Source organism: Homo sapiens, chromosome 14 (assembly GCF_000001405.40).
Source record: "Homo sapiens chromosome 14, GRCh38.p14 Primary Assembly".
Classification (NCBI taxonomy): domain Eukaryota; kingdom Metazoa; phylum Chordata; class Mammalia; order Primates; family Hominidae; genus Homo; species Homo sapiens.
Window position 1 is genome coordinate 37,186,191 of NC_000014.9, and position 14,549 is coordinate 37,200,739.

Consider the following 14,549-nt stretch of genomic DNA (forward strand, 5'->3'; position numbering starts at 1 on the left):
AAATACAAAACATATATTTACACACACATAAAAATACATAGATGTCTCTAGCAGCTTTATTCGTAATTGCCAAAACTTGGAAGCAACCAAGAAGTCTTTCAATAGGTGAATGGAGGCCGGGTGCAGTGGCCCACATCTGTAATCTAAACATTTTGGGAGGCTGAAGGGGATGAATTACTTGAGCTCAGGAGTTCAAGACCAGCCTGGGCAACATGGCAAAACCGTGTCTCTCCAAAACATACAAAAATTTAGCCTGGTGTGGTGGCATACACCTGTAGTCTCAACTACTCAGGGGCACTGAGACAGGAGAATTGCTTGAGTCCAGGAGGTCGAGGCTGCAGTGAGCCGAGATTGTGCCACTGCACTCCAGCCTAGATGACAGAGTGAGACCCTGTCTAAAAAAAAAAAAAAAAAAAAAAAAAACCACAGAGGAAAAGAAAAGAAAAAAAAAGGTGAATGAATAAGCAAATACTGTTCAGCCATAAAAAGATAGGAGCTGCTGGGAGCAATGGAATCCCAGCACCTTGGGAGACTAAGGTGGGAGCATTTCTTGAGCCCATGAGTTTAAGAGCAGCCTGGGCAATACAGTGAGACCCTGTCTCTAGCAAAAATAAAATAAAATATAATAAATAAATAAATAAATAAACAAACATGAACTATCAAGTCTTGAGAAGATATGGAGGAAACTTAAATACATATTGCTTAGTAAAAGAAGCCAATCTAAGAAAGCTGTATGCTGTACGATGCCAACTATGACATTCAGGAAAAGGCAAAAGCTATACAGACAGTACAAGAAAAAAAAAGAGTGGTTGCCAGAGGGGTGTGGGAGAGTGAGAGATGAATAGATGAACACAAGGGATTTTTAGGACAGTGAAACTATTCTGTATGATACTGTAATAGTAAATACATGACAGAGTGCTGTTGGCAAACTCTATAAAACTGTACAACACCAAGAACAAGCCACAATGTAAATACAGACTTTAGTTAATAATGTATCCATATTGGTTCATCATTTGTAACAAACACTAATGCAAGGGTCTAAAGCACATAAAATTGGAACAATACAGAGAAGATTAGGCCCCTGCACAAGCATGACACAAATTTGTGAAGTGTTCCATATTAAAAAAATAAATTTAAAAATAAAACAAAAAATAATAAGGGAAACTCTGGGGATGACATGATATAAGATAACTTCTGTACTATCTGATCACTTTTCTTTCTTTTTCTTTAGAGACAGGGTCTCATTCTGTTGCCAAGGCTAGAGCACAGTGCTGTGACCATAGCTCACTGCAACCTCGAATTCCCAGGCTTGTACTGATCCTCCCCTCTCCGGCTCCCAAGCAGCTGGGACTACAGATATGAGCCACCATGCCTGGCTTTTTTTTTTTTTTTTTCTTATAGAGACATGGTCTCACTATGTTGCCCAGACTGGTCTCCAATTCCTGGGTTCAAGTGATCCTCCTAACTTGGCCTTCCAAAACGATTGGATTACAGGCATGAGCCACTGTGTCCAGCCTCACCTTTCTTTAAAGCTAAAGCTGCTTTAAAAAAAAAAAAAAAGCCTATTGGAGTCGCTTTCAAGATGGCCGAAGAGGAACAGATCTGGTCTGCAGGTTTGAGCGAGATTGACACAGAAGATGGGTGATTTCTGCATTTCCAACTGAGGTACCTGGTTCATCTCATTGGGACTGGTTGGACAGTGGGTGCATCCCACAGAGGGTTAACCAAAGGAGGATGGGGCATCGTCTCACCTGGGAAGTGCAAGGGGTTGGGGGATTTCCCTTTCCTAGCCAAGGGAAGCTGTGAGTGACTGTACCTGGAGGAATGGTACACTTCTGCCCAAATACTGTGCTTTTCCCATGGTCTTTGCAACTGGCAGACCAGAAGATTCCCTCCCATGCCTGGCTTAGTGGGTCCCACACCCACGGAACCCTGCTTGCTGCTAGTGCAGCAGTCTGAGACAGACCTGGGATGCTGGATCTTGGTGGGGGTAGGGATGTCCACCATTGCTGAGGCTTGAGTAGGCAGTTCTATGCTCACAGTGTAAACAAAGCGGCAGGGAAGCTTGAACTGGGTGGAGCCCACTGCAGCTCAGCAAGGCCTACTGCCTCTCTAGATTCCACCTCTGGGGGCAGGACATATCTGAACAAAAGGCAGCAGAGAGCTTCTGCAGACTTAAACGTCCCTGCCTGACAGCTCTGAAGAGAGCAGTGGTTCTCCCAGCATGGTGTTTGAGCTCTGAAAACGGACAGACTGCCTCCTCAAGTGGGTCCCTGACCCGCATGTAGCTTGACTGGGAGACACCTCCCAGTAGGGGCCGACAGACACCTCATACAGACGGGTGCCCCTCTGGGACGAAGCTTCCAGAGGAAGGATCAGACAGCAATATTTGCTATTCTGCAGCCTCTGCTGTGATACCCAGGCAAACAGGGTCTTGAGTGGATCTTGCTGAGTAGGCCAAGCCTCAGCAAACCCCAACAGACCTGCAGCTGAGGGGCCTGTCTGTTAGAAGGAAAACTAACAAACAGAAAGGAATAGCATCAACATCAACAAAAAGGACACCCACACCAAAACCCCATCTGTAGGTCACCAACATGAAAGACCAAAGGTAGACAAAACCACAAAGATGGGGAGAAACCAGAGCAGAAAGTCTGAAAATTCCAAAAACCAGAACACCTCTTCTCCTCCAAAGGATCACAACTCCTCGACAGCAAGGAACACAAACCGGATGGAGAATGAGTTTCATGAGTTGACAGAAGCAGGCTTCAGAAGGTCAGTAATAACAAACTTCTCTGAGCTAAAGGAGCATGTTCTAACCCATCACAAGGAAGCTAAAAACCTTGAAAAAAGGTTAGATGAATGACTAACTAGAATAATCAGTGTAGAGAAGAGCTTAAATGACCTGATGGACTGAAAACCACAGTATGAGAACTTTGTGAAGCATACAGAAGCTTCAATAACCAATTCGATCAAGCAGAAGAAAGGATATCAGTGATTGAAGATCAAATGAATGAAATGAAGCTAGATGAGAAGTTTAGAGAAAAAAGAGTGAAAAGAAATGAACAAAGCCTCCAAGAAATATGGGACTATGTGAAAAGACCAAATCTACGTTTGATTGGTGTACCTGAAAATGACGAGAAGAGTGGAACCAAGTTAGAAGACACTCTTCAGGATATTATCCAGGAGAACTTCCCCAACCTAGCAAGGCAGGCCAACATTCAAATTCAGGAAATACAGAGAATGCCACAAAGATACTCCTCGAGAAGAGCAATCCCAAGACACATAATCATCAGATTCACCAAGGTTGAAATGAAGGAAAAAAAGTTAAGGGCAGCCAGAGAAAAAGGTCAGGTTACCCACAAAGGGAAGCCCATCAGACTAACAGCAGATCTCTCGGCAGAAACCCTACAAGCCAAAAGAGAGTGGGGACCAATACAATATTCAACATTCTTAAAGAAAAGAATTTTCAACCCAGAGTTTCATATCCAGCCAAACTAAGCTTCATAAGTGAAGGAGAAATAAAATCCTTTACAGACAAGCAAATGCTGAGAGATTTTGTTACCACCAAGCCTGCCTTACAAGAGCTCCTGAAGGAAGCACTAAACATGGAAAGGAACAATCGGTACCAGCCACAGCAAAAACATGCCAAGCTGTAAAGACCATCGATGCTAAGAAGAAACTGCATCAATTAATGGGTGAAATAACCAGCTAACATCATAACAACAGGATCAAATTCACACATAACAATATTAACCTTAAATATAAATGGGCTAAATACCCCAATTAAAAGACACAGACTGGCAAATTGGATAAACAGTCAAGACCCATTGGTGTGCTGTATTCAGGAGACCCATCTCATGTCCAAAGACACATATAGGCTCAAAATAAAGGGATGGAGGAAGACCTACCAAGTAAATGGAAAGAAAAAAAAAAAAAGCAGGGGTTGCAGTCCTGGTCTCTGATAAAACAGACTTTAAACCAAAAAAGATCAAAAGGGACAAGGCCATTACATAACGGTAAAGTGATCAATTCAACAACAAGAGCTAACTATCCTAAATATATATACACCCAAAACAGGAGCACCCAAATTCATAAAGCAAGTTCTTAGAGATCTAAAAAGAGACTTAGACTCCCACACAATAATAATGGGAGACTTTAACAACCCACCGTCAATGTTAGACAGATCAAGGAGACAGAAAATTAACAAGGATATCCAGGACTTGAACTCAGCTCTGGGCCAAGCAGACCTAGTAGACATCTACAGAACTCTCCATCCCAAATCAACACAATATACATTCTTCTCAGCACCACATCACACTTATTCTAAAATTGACAACATAAGTGGAACTAAAACACTCCTCAGCAAATGTAAAAGAACAGCAATCACAACAAACTGTCTCTCAGACCACAGTGCAATCAAATTAGAACTCAGGATTAAGAAACTCACTCAAAACCGCACAACTACATGAAAACTGAACAACCTGCTCCTGAATGACTACTGGGTAAATAACGAAATAAAGGTAGAAATAAAGATGTTCTTTGAAACCAATGAGAACAAAGACACAACATACCAGAATCCCTGGGACACATTTAAAGCAGTGAGTAGATGGAAATGTATAGCACTAAATGCCCACAAGAAAGCAGGAAAGATCTAAAGTTTATACCCCGGCATCACAATTAAAAGAACTAGAGAAGCAAGAGAAAACAAATTCAAAAGCTACCAGAAGACAAGAAATAACTAAGATCAGAGCAGAACTGAAGGAGATAGAGACACACACAAACACAAAAAAACCCTTCAAAAAAATCGATGAATTCAAGAGCTGGTTTTTTTGAAAAGATCAACAAAATTGATAGACTGCTAGCAAGATTAATAAAGAAAAAAAGAGAGAAGAATCAAATAGACACAATAAAAAAATCATAAAGGTGATATCAGCACCGATTCCACAGAAATACAAACTACCATCAGAAAATACTCTAAACACCTCTATGCTAATAAACTAGAAAATCTAGAAGAAATGGGTAAATTCCTGGACACATACACCCTCCCAAGACTAAACCAGGAAGAAGTTGAATCTCTGAATAGACCAATAACAGGCTCTGAAATTGAGGCAATAATTAATAGCCTACCAACCAAAAAAAGTCCAGGACCAGATGGAATCACAGCTGAATTCTACCAGTGGTACAAAGAGGAGCTGGTACCATTCCTTCTGAAACTATTCCAATCAATAGAAAAAGAGGGAATCCTCCCTAACTCATTTTATGAGGCCAGAATCATCCTGATACCAAAAGCCTGGCAGAGACACAACAAAAAAAGAGAATTTTAGGCCAATATCCATGATGAACATCTATGTGAAAATCCTCAATAAAATATTGGCAAACTGAATCCAGCAGCACATCAAAAAGCTTATCCACCACGATCAAGTGGGCTTCATCCCTGGGATGGAAGGCTGGTTCAACATATGCAAATCAATAAATGTAATCCATCACATAAACAGAACCAAAGACAAAAACCACATGATTATCTCAATAGATGCAGAAAAGGCCTCTGACAAAATTCAACCAGCCCTTCATGGTAAAAACCCTCAATAAACTAGGTATTGATGGAACGTATCTCAAAATAATAAGAGCTATTTATGACAGACCCACAGCCAATATCATACTGAACGGGCAAAAACTGGAAGCATTCCCTTTGAAAACAGGCACAAGACAGGGATGCCCTCTCTCACCACTCCTATTCAACATAGTGTTGGAAGTTCTGGCCAGGGAAATCAGGCAAGAGAAAGAAATAAAGGATATTGAATTAGGAAAAGAGGAAGTCAAATTGTCTCTGTTTGCAGATGACATGATTATATATTTAGAAAACCCCATCATCTCAGCCCAAAATCTCCTTAAGCTGATAAGCAACTTCAGGAAAGTCTCAGGATACAAAATCAATGTTCAAAAATCACAAGCATTCCTACACACCAAGAACAGACAAACAGAGAGCCAAATCATGAGTGAACGCTCATTCAGGATTACTACAAAGAGAATAAAATACCAAGGAATCCAACTTACAAGGGATGTCAAGGACTCCTTCAAGGAGAACTACAAACCACTGCTCAACGAAATAAAAGAGGACACAAACAATGGAAGAACATTCCGTGTTCATGAATAGGAAGAATCAATATTGTGAAAATGGCCATACTGCCCAACGTAGTTGATAGATTCAATGCTATCCCCATCAAGCGACCACTGACTTTCTTTACAGAATTGGAAAAATCTACTTTAAATTTTATATGTAACCAAAAAAGAGCCCGCATAGCCAAGGCAATCCTAAGCAAAAAGAACAAAGCTGGAGGCATCATGCTACCTGACTTCAAACTATACTACGAGGCTACTGTAATGAAAATAGCATGGTACTGGTACCAAAACAGATATAGAGACCAGTGGAACAGAATAGAGGCCTCAGAAATAATACCACACATCTACAGCCATCTAGTCTTTGACAAACCTGACGAAAATCAGCAATGGGAAAAGGATTCCCTATTTAATAAATGGTGCTGGGAAAACTGGCTAGCCATATGTAGAATGCTGAAACTGGATCCCTTCCTTACACCTTATACAAAAATTAACTCAAGATGGATTAAAGACTTAAATGTAAGACCTAAAAGCATAAAAACCCTAGAAGAAAACCTAGGCATTACCATTCAGGACATAGGCATGGACAAATACTTCATGACTAAAACACCAAAAGCAATGGCAATGAAAGCCAAAATAGACATATGGGATCTAATTAAACTAAACAGCTTCTGCACAGCAAAAGAAACTATCATCAGAGTGAATAGGCAACCTACAGAATAGGAAAAATTTTTTTCAATCTATCCATCTGACAAATGGCTAATATCCAGAATCTACAAAGAACTTAAACACATTTACAAGAAAAAAACTAACAACCCCCTCAAAAAGTTGGCAAAGGATATGAAGAGACACTTCTCAAAATAAGACATTTATGCAGCCAACAGACATATGAAAAAATGCTCATCATCACTGGTCATCAGAGAAATGCAAATCAAAACCACAATGAGATACCATCCCACACCAGTTAGAATGGTGATCATTAAAAAGTCAGGAAACAACAGATGCTGGAGAGGATGTGGAGAAATAGGAATGCTTTCACACTGTTGGTGGGAGTGTAAATTAGCTCAACCATTGTGGAAGACAGTGTGGGCGATTCCTCAAGGACCTAGAACTAGAAATACCATTTGACCCAGCAATCTCATTACTGGGTATATACCCAAAGGATTATAAATCATGCTACTATAAAGACACATGCACAAGTATGTTTATTGCGGTACTATTCACAATAGCAAAGACTTGGAACCAACCCAAATGTCCATCAATGATAGACCAGATTAAGAAACTGTGGCACATGTACACCATGGAAAACTATGCAGTCATAAAAAATGATGAGTTCATGTCCTTTGTAGGGACATGGATGAAGCTGGAAACCATCGTTCTCAGCAAAATATCACAAGGACAGAAAACCAAACACCACATGTTTTCACTCATAAGTGGGAATTGAACAATGAGAATACATGGACGCAGGGAGGGGAATATCACACACCCGGGCCTGTTGGGTGGGGGGGGGCTGGGGGAGGGATAGCATTAGGAGAAATACCTAATATTAATGACAAGTTGATGGGTGCAGCAAACCAACATGGCACATGTATACCGATGTAACCAATCTGTACGTTGTGCACATGTACCCTAGAACTTAAAGTGTATGAAAAAAGCCTATTAAAAAATGAATCATGATCCTTTAGACAGGTAGTAGCTAAAGGATCCTCATATCCTTTAAAAGGATTACTGTAGTCAAGCAAAGTGCTATGAGACTGACTTGAAAATTTAAAAAATAGCTTTATCCATCATATCTATGTTCATTAATCTCATGTCTAGCCCAGTCTAGAATGCTTCCTTGCATATGACTGCTGGAAAGCTACTCTAAGATGCTTCCCTAGCAATTCAAACTCATTCTATCAAAACTGAACTTACTTATTCACCAATTTCTTTAATACCATCAACACTTTCCTCTTTCTCAACTAGTTATTTACCAGATTTTGCAAACTATTTCCTACTTCTTCAAGCTACCCTTTTCCATCTATCGTGCTTTACCACATACATTTTATTATTTATTTATTTATTTATTTATTTTTTGAGACAGGGTCTAACTCTGTCACCCAGGCTAGAGTGCAGTGGTACAATCTCAGCTCACTGCAACCTCCACCTCCTGGTTCAAGTGATTCTCATGCTTCAGCTTCCTGAGTAGCTGGGATTACAGACATGTGCCACCATGCCTGGCTATTTTTTGTATTTTTAGTAGAGACGGTGGGGGGAGGTCCCACCATGTTGGATAGGGTGGTCTCCAACTCCTAGCCTCAAGTGATCCACCCACCTCAGCCTCCCAAAGTGCTGGGGTTACAGGCATGAGCCACAGAGCCCAGCCTTTTTATCGTTTTTCAATTAGATTAACTAGTCTTGCAAACTTGAGAATTTTGATTCTGAAACGTATTTCTAAATTGATGAATGAAAGTGTAAATCTAATCTCATCACTCCTGTTTTAACTTTCAAAATTCATTGACTATAGAATCAAGTCCAAGGTACTTAATTAGGAGATCATTTATATTGCCTGGCATGGTGACTCATGCATGTAATCCGAGCACTTTGGGAGGCCAAAGTGGGAGGACTGCTTGAGGCCAGGACTTTGATACCAGCCCCAGCAACATAGTGAGTCCCCAACTCTATTTTTAAAAAAGACCTTTCATAATCTCTCCAACTTCATTTCCCACCACTTTCCATGTTAAATTTTATACTGTGATATTAAATTGCTTATAGCTCCTTACAGTATCTCACTCCCATATTGATTCCTTTATAAGGAATTCTGTTTTCTCTGCACCTCCACCCTCACCTCTTCACCTTGCTAAGTCTTATTCATACTACAGGAGGCATTATCTCCTTCAGATTTTCCTGACTCTGTCTTCCTCATCCCCTGAACTCCCCTCTCCCAAAGCCATTTCTCAGTTTACACAGTGTGATGGTTAATTTTGTCAACTTGGCTGGGCCATGGTGCACAGATATTTGGTGAAACGTTATCCTGGATGCTTCTGTGAAGGTGTTTTTTTGATGAGATTACCATTTAAATCACCAGACTTTGAATACAACAGATTACATTCCATGTATGTCCAACTACAATTCTTTTCTGAGGCTTGCCCGCCTCTTCCCTCAGATTTTGGACTCACTAAAAGTCCACAACTGCATGAGCCATTTCCTTACAATAAATCACTGTCCCTCTCTCTATGTAGTCTCTGTGTATACACACATATCCTGTTTGTTCTGTTTCTCTGGAGAACCCTGATTAATACATATGGTATTCTCAGCTACTTGTGTGCCTAATTGTTATTCATTATTTTATTTGCAGAACTGATCAGTGTGTGACACACTGCAGAAGCCTAATATTTATAGACTTGAGAATATTAATGATCTGACATTAACAGACTTGATAATATTAATAATATGACATTCTTTTTCTCCCTGTAACGAAAGAGTGGTTCATTTTCTTCTTCTCATCTTCATCCATATTTCTGTAAAAGTCCAGCTTGTATGAGGTATGAGGACATAGACAATATCTTTGATAATCATTTTGAGAAAAGAAAAAAGCTCTAATTTATCTCTTTCATTTCTTATAGACAGGCAACTGTTAGAACAATAGAAAATGAAGAAATGGATATGTTGGTTATGGTGGTGGTGGAGGGGAGTAGGGGAAAACTTACCTGTTGTGGTATCAAAAGTTTAGGGAAAGAACATTAATGAGTTACTTCAGGTATGTTAGGGAAAAAGGAAAAAGAATAGGGAGAATTAGTCCTAATGTTTGAACTCACTGCATAAAACAGAGAGAGAGAGAGAGAAAATCAGCTTACTAAAAGGAAAGAAAATATGAGGTTTCTCTTTATGCCAGAGACTGTAAGCACCCAGATAATGGGCTTTAAAAAAAGGAGGAAATGAACTTTACTCAATGAAAAATATTATAATTTTTCTCTAAATTTATTCTACTAATTCATTACATGGTTTGAATGTTCTCATTGTGGTAGTCACTATCCTGTTTTATTTATTATTTCCTAGCCAGGAAAATCAACTTTTTCCTTTGTTTTACACATAATTTGATTTGGCCCTAAGCCTTTGCACAAGCTATATACTTCCTGATTGGAGTATTTGCTCTGATAAACTGTACACTCTTTGTTTTTGTCTCATAGATTTTTATGGTACTTTATGTTCATAAATATGATTCAAATCCTGACTGAAGTAAAGCAAAAAAGAAAAAAGCATTTCAAAGCTGAATCTGTAACAAACTTCTTGAGAACACTGTTCATTACAGCATACATAACGAAAATTTGGTGAATATTATAACCTCTGTTGTTCCAAGTTAATCTACGTCCAACTTTTCCATTTTGTTAGTTTTCACAGCGTCATGCTCTGTCCCCCAGGCTGGGGTGCAGTGGCGCCAGCCATCGTAGCTTATTTCAGTCTCCACCTCTGGGGCTCAAGCGATTCTCCCACCTCATCCTCCCTAGTAGCTGGGACTACGGGTATGCACCATCATGCCCAGCTAATTTTTTTGATTTTTAATAAAGTCAAGGTCTCGCCATGTTGTCCAGGCTGGTCTCGAACTCCTGGGCTCAAGCGATCCCACTGCCTCAGCCTTCCAAAGTGTTGGGACTACAGGCGTAAGCCACCGCGCCCGGCCTTTTTCAGTTTTTTAAACTCTCTTTTGTACACTTACTAAAGGATAAGTTCCTTTCATTAACTTTAACCACAAATTTAGGAACCCGTCAGCACCTCATATTATGCCTATTCTCTGGGGTGTATTAAAAAATATTATTGCTTATTACTCAGCACCCAGAAGAGTACCTGGCACATGGTATGTGGTCACTAAGTATTTGGTGTCTGAAGGAATCATGAGTAACAGGAGTTAAAGTGACATTTATAAAACCAATTCTGAACTATGGAACAAAAAACCCAAATTTAAATTACTAGCAGTTAATTATACCATTCTTAGTTCACGGAGGTAGGCCAATTGAAAACTTTGGACATTTTTAAATTCTGTAAGGTTTAACATTTTTTCTTAGAGGATTCACATATCGTAATCTCATCCAGCACTTCAGTCAAAAAAAAAAAAAAAAAAAAAAGTCACCAGCTCCAAGGTTTTAGTGTGAAACGTTCTTTGGCCAGGATCTAGATAGTACTTTTGCTCACTCAACCGGAGCCCGATCTGGTGCCATTTTCACTTGACCGCCGCTTCGAAACACGTCCCTCCCACCTCTCATCCCAAACCACACACAAAGAAGGAAAGCACAATTTCGACAGGTCTTGGGAAAACTCGACGAGGCCAAGTATGAGGCCACAAGACACCGTTTTTAGTTCCGCGTTCTCCCTCTTCTAATCCTATTAGGTTTTGTCCAGACAACGTTTTGCTCTTTCAGAAGAGAAAGAGCGTTCTGCGCTCGTCGTCTTGGATTCGACAACCATAAGCATCCCGTTAGGGCAACCACCGCAGCAGACTAAGTTCGACTACTTTCTCTCCAAACTCCTCCCGGGCCTTCTTCCCAAGCTCTCTCTTTCTCCTGGAGGCCCCGCCTCGCGGCCCGGCAGCGCGGCACGCGCATGCCCGGTGCTCGCCGCTTGCGCTCTCCCCTGCGGCGCGCCGCCGCCCCGTAGGCCCCACGCGCCGCCCCGCTCCTCCGCCGGATCGTCTGTGGGTGAGTCTCGAGCCAGGAGGCTCTGAGCCAGTGGCGATTGGCTGACGCGGTGGCTGCGCACTCGGCCTGAGAAACTCGGCAAGCGCGCAGTGTCGACTCCCCGGTCTATGCCAGGCGCATCTCAGGTAAACGGTTGGGCAGGGAGGTTTGGGCGACGGAGAATGATAGTGGTGGGCACAGATCAGCCCTGGAGTTTTCGGCCGCAGACTTTTCCTTGGAGAAGGAGAAGGGGCCCCGCGGAATCTGTACTTAGTGAATGCTGACCCCGCGTGGCCGGGAGTGATGGGGCTCTCTCGAAGGTCAGTGTCGTGGGGTCCTCAGGTGGCAGACAGCTCTTTCTGGGTATGGTTTTGGTATTGTCTCCAGTTTCCTAATACTGGACCTGAGCAGCTGAGCATTTATTCAAGGGTGTATTTTTTTTGTTTTTTTCCCCTTAAGTCGCGGTTAGTCAGAAGGTTCCAGTCCTCGCTCAACCTCTGATCGACTCTGTGCCCATGAGAGAGTCGTTTTATATTTCATTTCTCACACGTGGAAGTGTGGGCGAAGAATGAGGGGCTTCTTTAAGCGCGCTAAGCCATGCTGTAAAAAGATACTGTTAGAATTTTTTTTTTTCTTTTTTGATTCACAATGTCCCTGGACCTGGTGCAACGTTTGGGAAGCATTTTAAGCTCTATGGATGGAGGGAACAAGACAGCCGCATTATTAGACAAGGATGGTAGAAAGGAACAACTTTCCACAAACACACGCGTTTGGAAAAGCTCCTTTGAGCATTTTATGCAGGTTAAATCACAGTGGTAGTAGATAGAAATAAGCCAAAACAAAGGGCCAAACAAAACTACATTTCAAGGAGGTGTTCTTTTCTTCCCCAGATAACTTGAATATACTATCACAAATTATTGGCGTTTCAAAGTTTTTCCTTGTGATCTGGTATGGAGTTCATCTAAAATGACAATTACATAATCATTCTATGCAATCGTATGCCAATAAAATTAATTAAAACAGTTTAATTTTTAATGTGAGGAATAGGAATCAAGACATGTCATTGATGGGAGGTAATGATGGCAATCAGCAAAATGAATGGGAGATGTATACAATTTTCCTTCAAAGGAGTAGAGTTTATAGAGATATTTTTATTGCGTTAATATTTAAAGTATAAAGACATACAGAAAAGTGCATGAATCGTAAGTGTACAGCTCGGTGAATTTTCACAAAGTGTAAATACCCATGTATCCAGTATCTAGATCAGGAAAGAGCATTATTGCATCCCGGAAGCCCCACTTCATGGTTCCAAAGGTAATCATTATCTGGACTTCCAACATTATCAATGAATTTCACCTATTATTTACTTTATATAAATGGAGTAATATGGTATTTAGTCCTTAGTTTCTGATTTTTGCTCAATATTTTATTTGTGAGATTTATTCAAGTTATGTAGCAGTTTGTTATTCTCATGCTGTATGTATAGTATTTCTAGTTTTTGGCTATTACCAATAGGGCTGCTATAAAGATTTTTAGAAATATTTTGATGAAATTATGTATACTTTTTTTTTTCTTCTTTTTTTTGAGATGGAGTCTCGCTCTGCCGCCAAGGCTGGAGTGCAGTGGCGCGATCTCGGCTTACTGCAACCTCCGCCTCCCGGGATCAAGCAATTCTCCTGTCTCAGCCTCCCGAGTAGCTGGGACTACAGGTGCCTACCACCACGCCTGGCTAAGTTTTGTATTTTTAGTAAAGACGGGGTTTCACCTTGTTGGTCAGGCTGGTCTCAAACTCCTGACCTCAGCTGATCCACCTGCCTCAGCATCCCAGAGTGCTGGGATTACAGGTGTGAACCATCGCGCCTGGCCATATGTACATTTTTATTGCGTATATGCCTACTAGAAAATTACTGTGTTACAGGATAGGCAGATGTGTGTTTGTGGTATACACTACTGAAAAGTTTTTCATATTGTGTCAATTTATACTTCAGTGGCAGCTTGAGAATTCTGGTTCCTCCAAATGCTTGCAACATTTCACACTGTCTTTTTCATTTTAGCCATTCTAGTAGGAATATAGTGACATAACATTGGGGTTTTCCCATAATTTCCCTAATGACTGATGGTATTGAACACATATTCATGTGTTTACTGGCATTTGGATATCCTCTATTTCTGTAAGGGACCAGACAATAAGTGTAGGCAGCCCTCGCTTTGTAGAGTTTCAGCTAACCAAGTAATGTGTGAAGCTCGGACTACCTGTATTTTAGGTTGTACAGGCTGTACAGTCTCTGTTACACATTCTTTTCTGTTTTTTTCCTCTTTACTTTGTTCCCAACCCTTTAAATATGTAAAAACAATTCTTAGCTCATGGGTTATACAAAAACAGTTGTTAAAAGATAACTTTAGGCACATGGAAATTTTAGAGTTTATATGAGCATTCAGCAATTTCATAAATTGGGTATCACCAGACCACAAGTTATTCAAGACTCCACCAAGAGGGTGTGAGGGGAAAACTTTTATAAGGTGTTTATGGAAACAGAAAATATTTGATTGGTAACAGTGGAATGTCTCTAGTTAGAAGTTGTTTGGTGGTTTCTGATTGATTAAACTCAAGTTTAGTTTTACTGTTTACATTGAGTTGGGTTTTGGTTTGTTTACATAGGAACCCAAAGTGCTGGAGCTGTCTCAACCTAATGGTTTCCCAGTTAGTTTTTTTTTTTTTTTTTTTTTTTAACACAGTCCTCTGGCTGGATTTGAGTTGTGGGCCATAGCGTACTAACCCCT

At 40.7% G+C, this 14,549-nt stretch overlaps 1 protein-coding gene and 1 pseudogene across 13 annotated transcripts in view; both read left to right on the top strand.

The window, feature by feature from the left end:
• On the top strand, window positions 1,029–1,124 carry RNU6-273P (RNA, U6 small nuclear 273, pseudogene; annotated as a pseudogene).
• The window catches only part of MIPOL1 (mirror-image polydactyly 1), a 354,425-nt gene continuing 351,622 nt past the window's right edge, over window positions 11,747–14,549 (top strand). For all 13 annotated transcript variants that reach the window (NM_001195296.2, NM_001195297.2, NM_138731.7 and 10 more), the window contains exon 1: window positions 11,747–11,914. The gene's annotated coding sequence lies outside the window, so the exon portion shown is untranslated. The remainder of the gene's footprint in view (window positions 11,915–14,549) is intronic.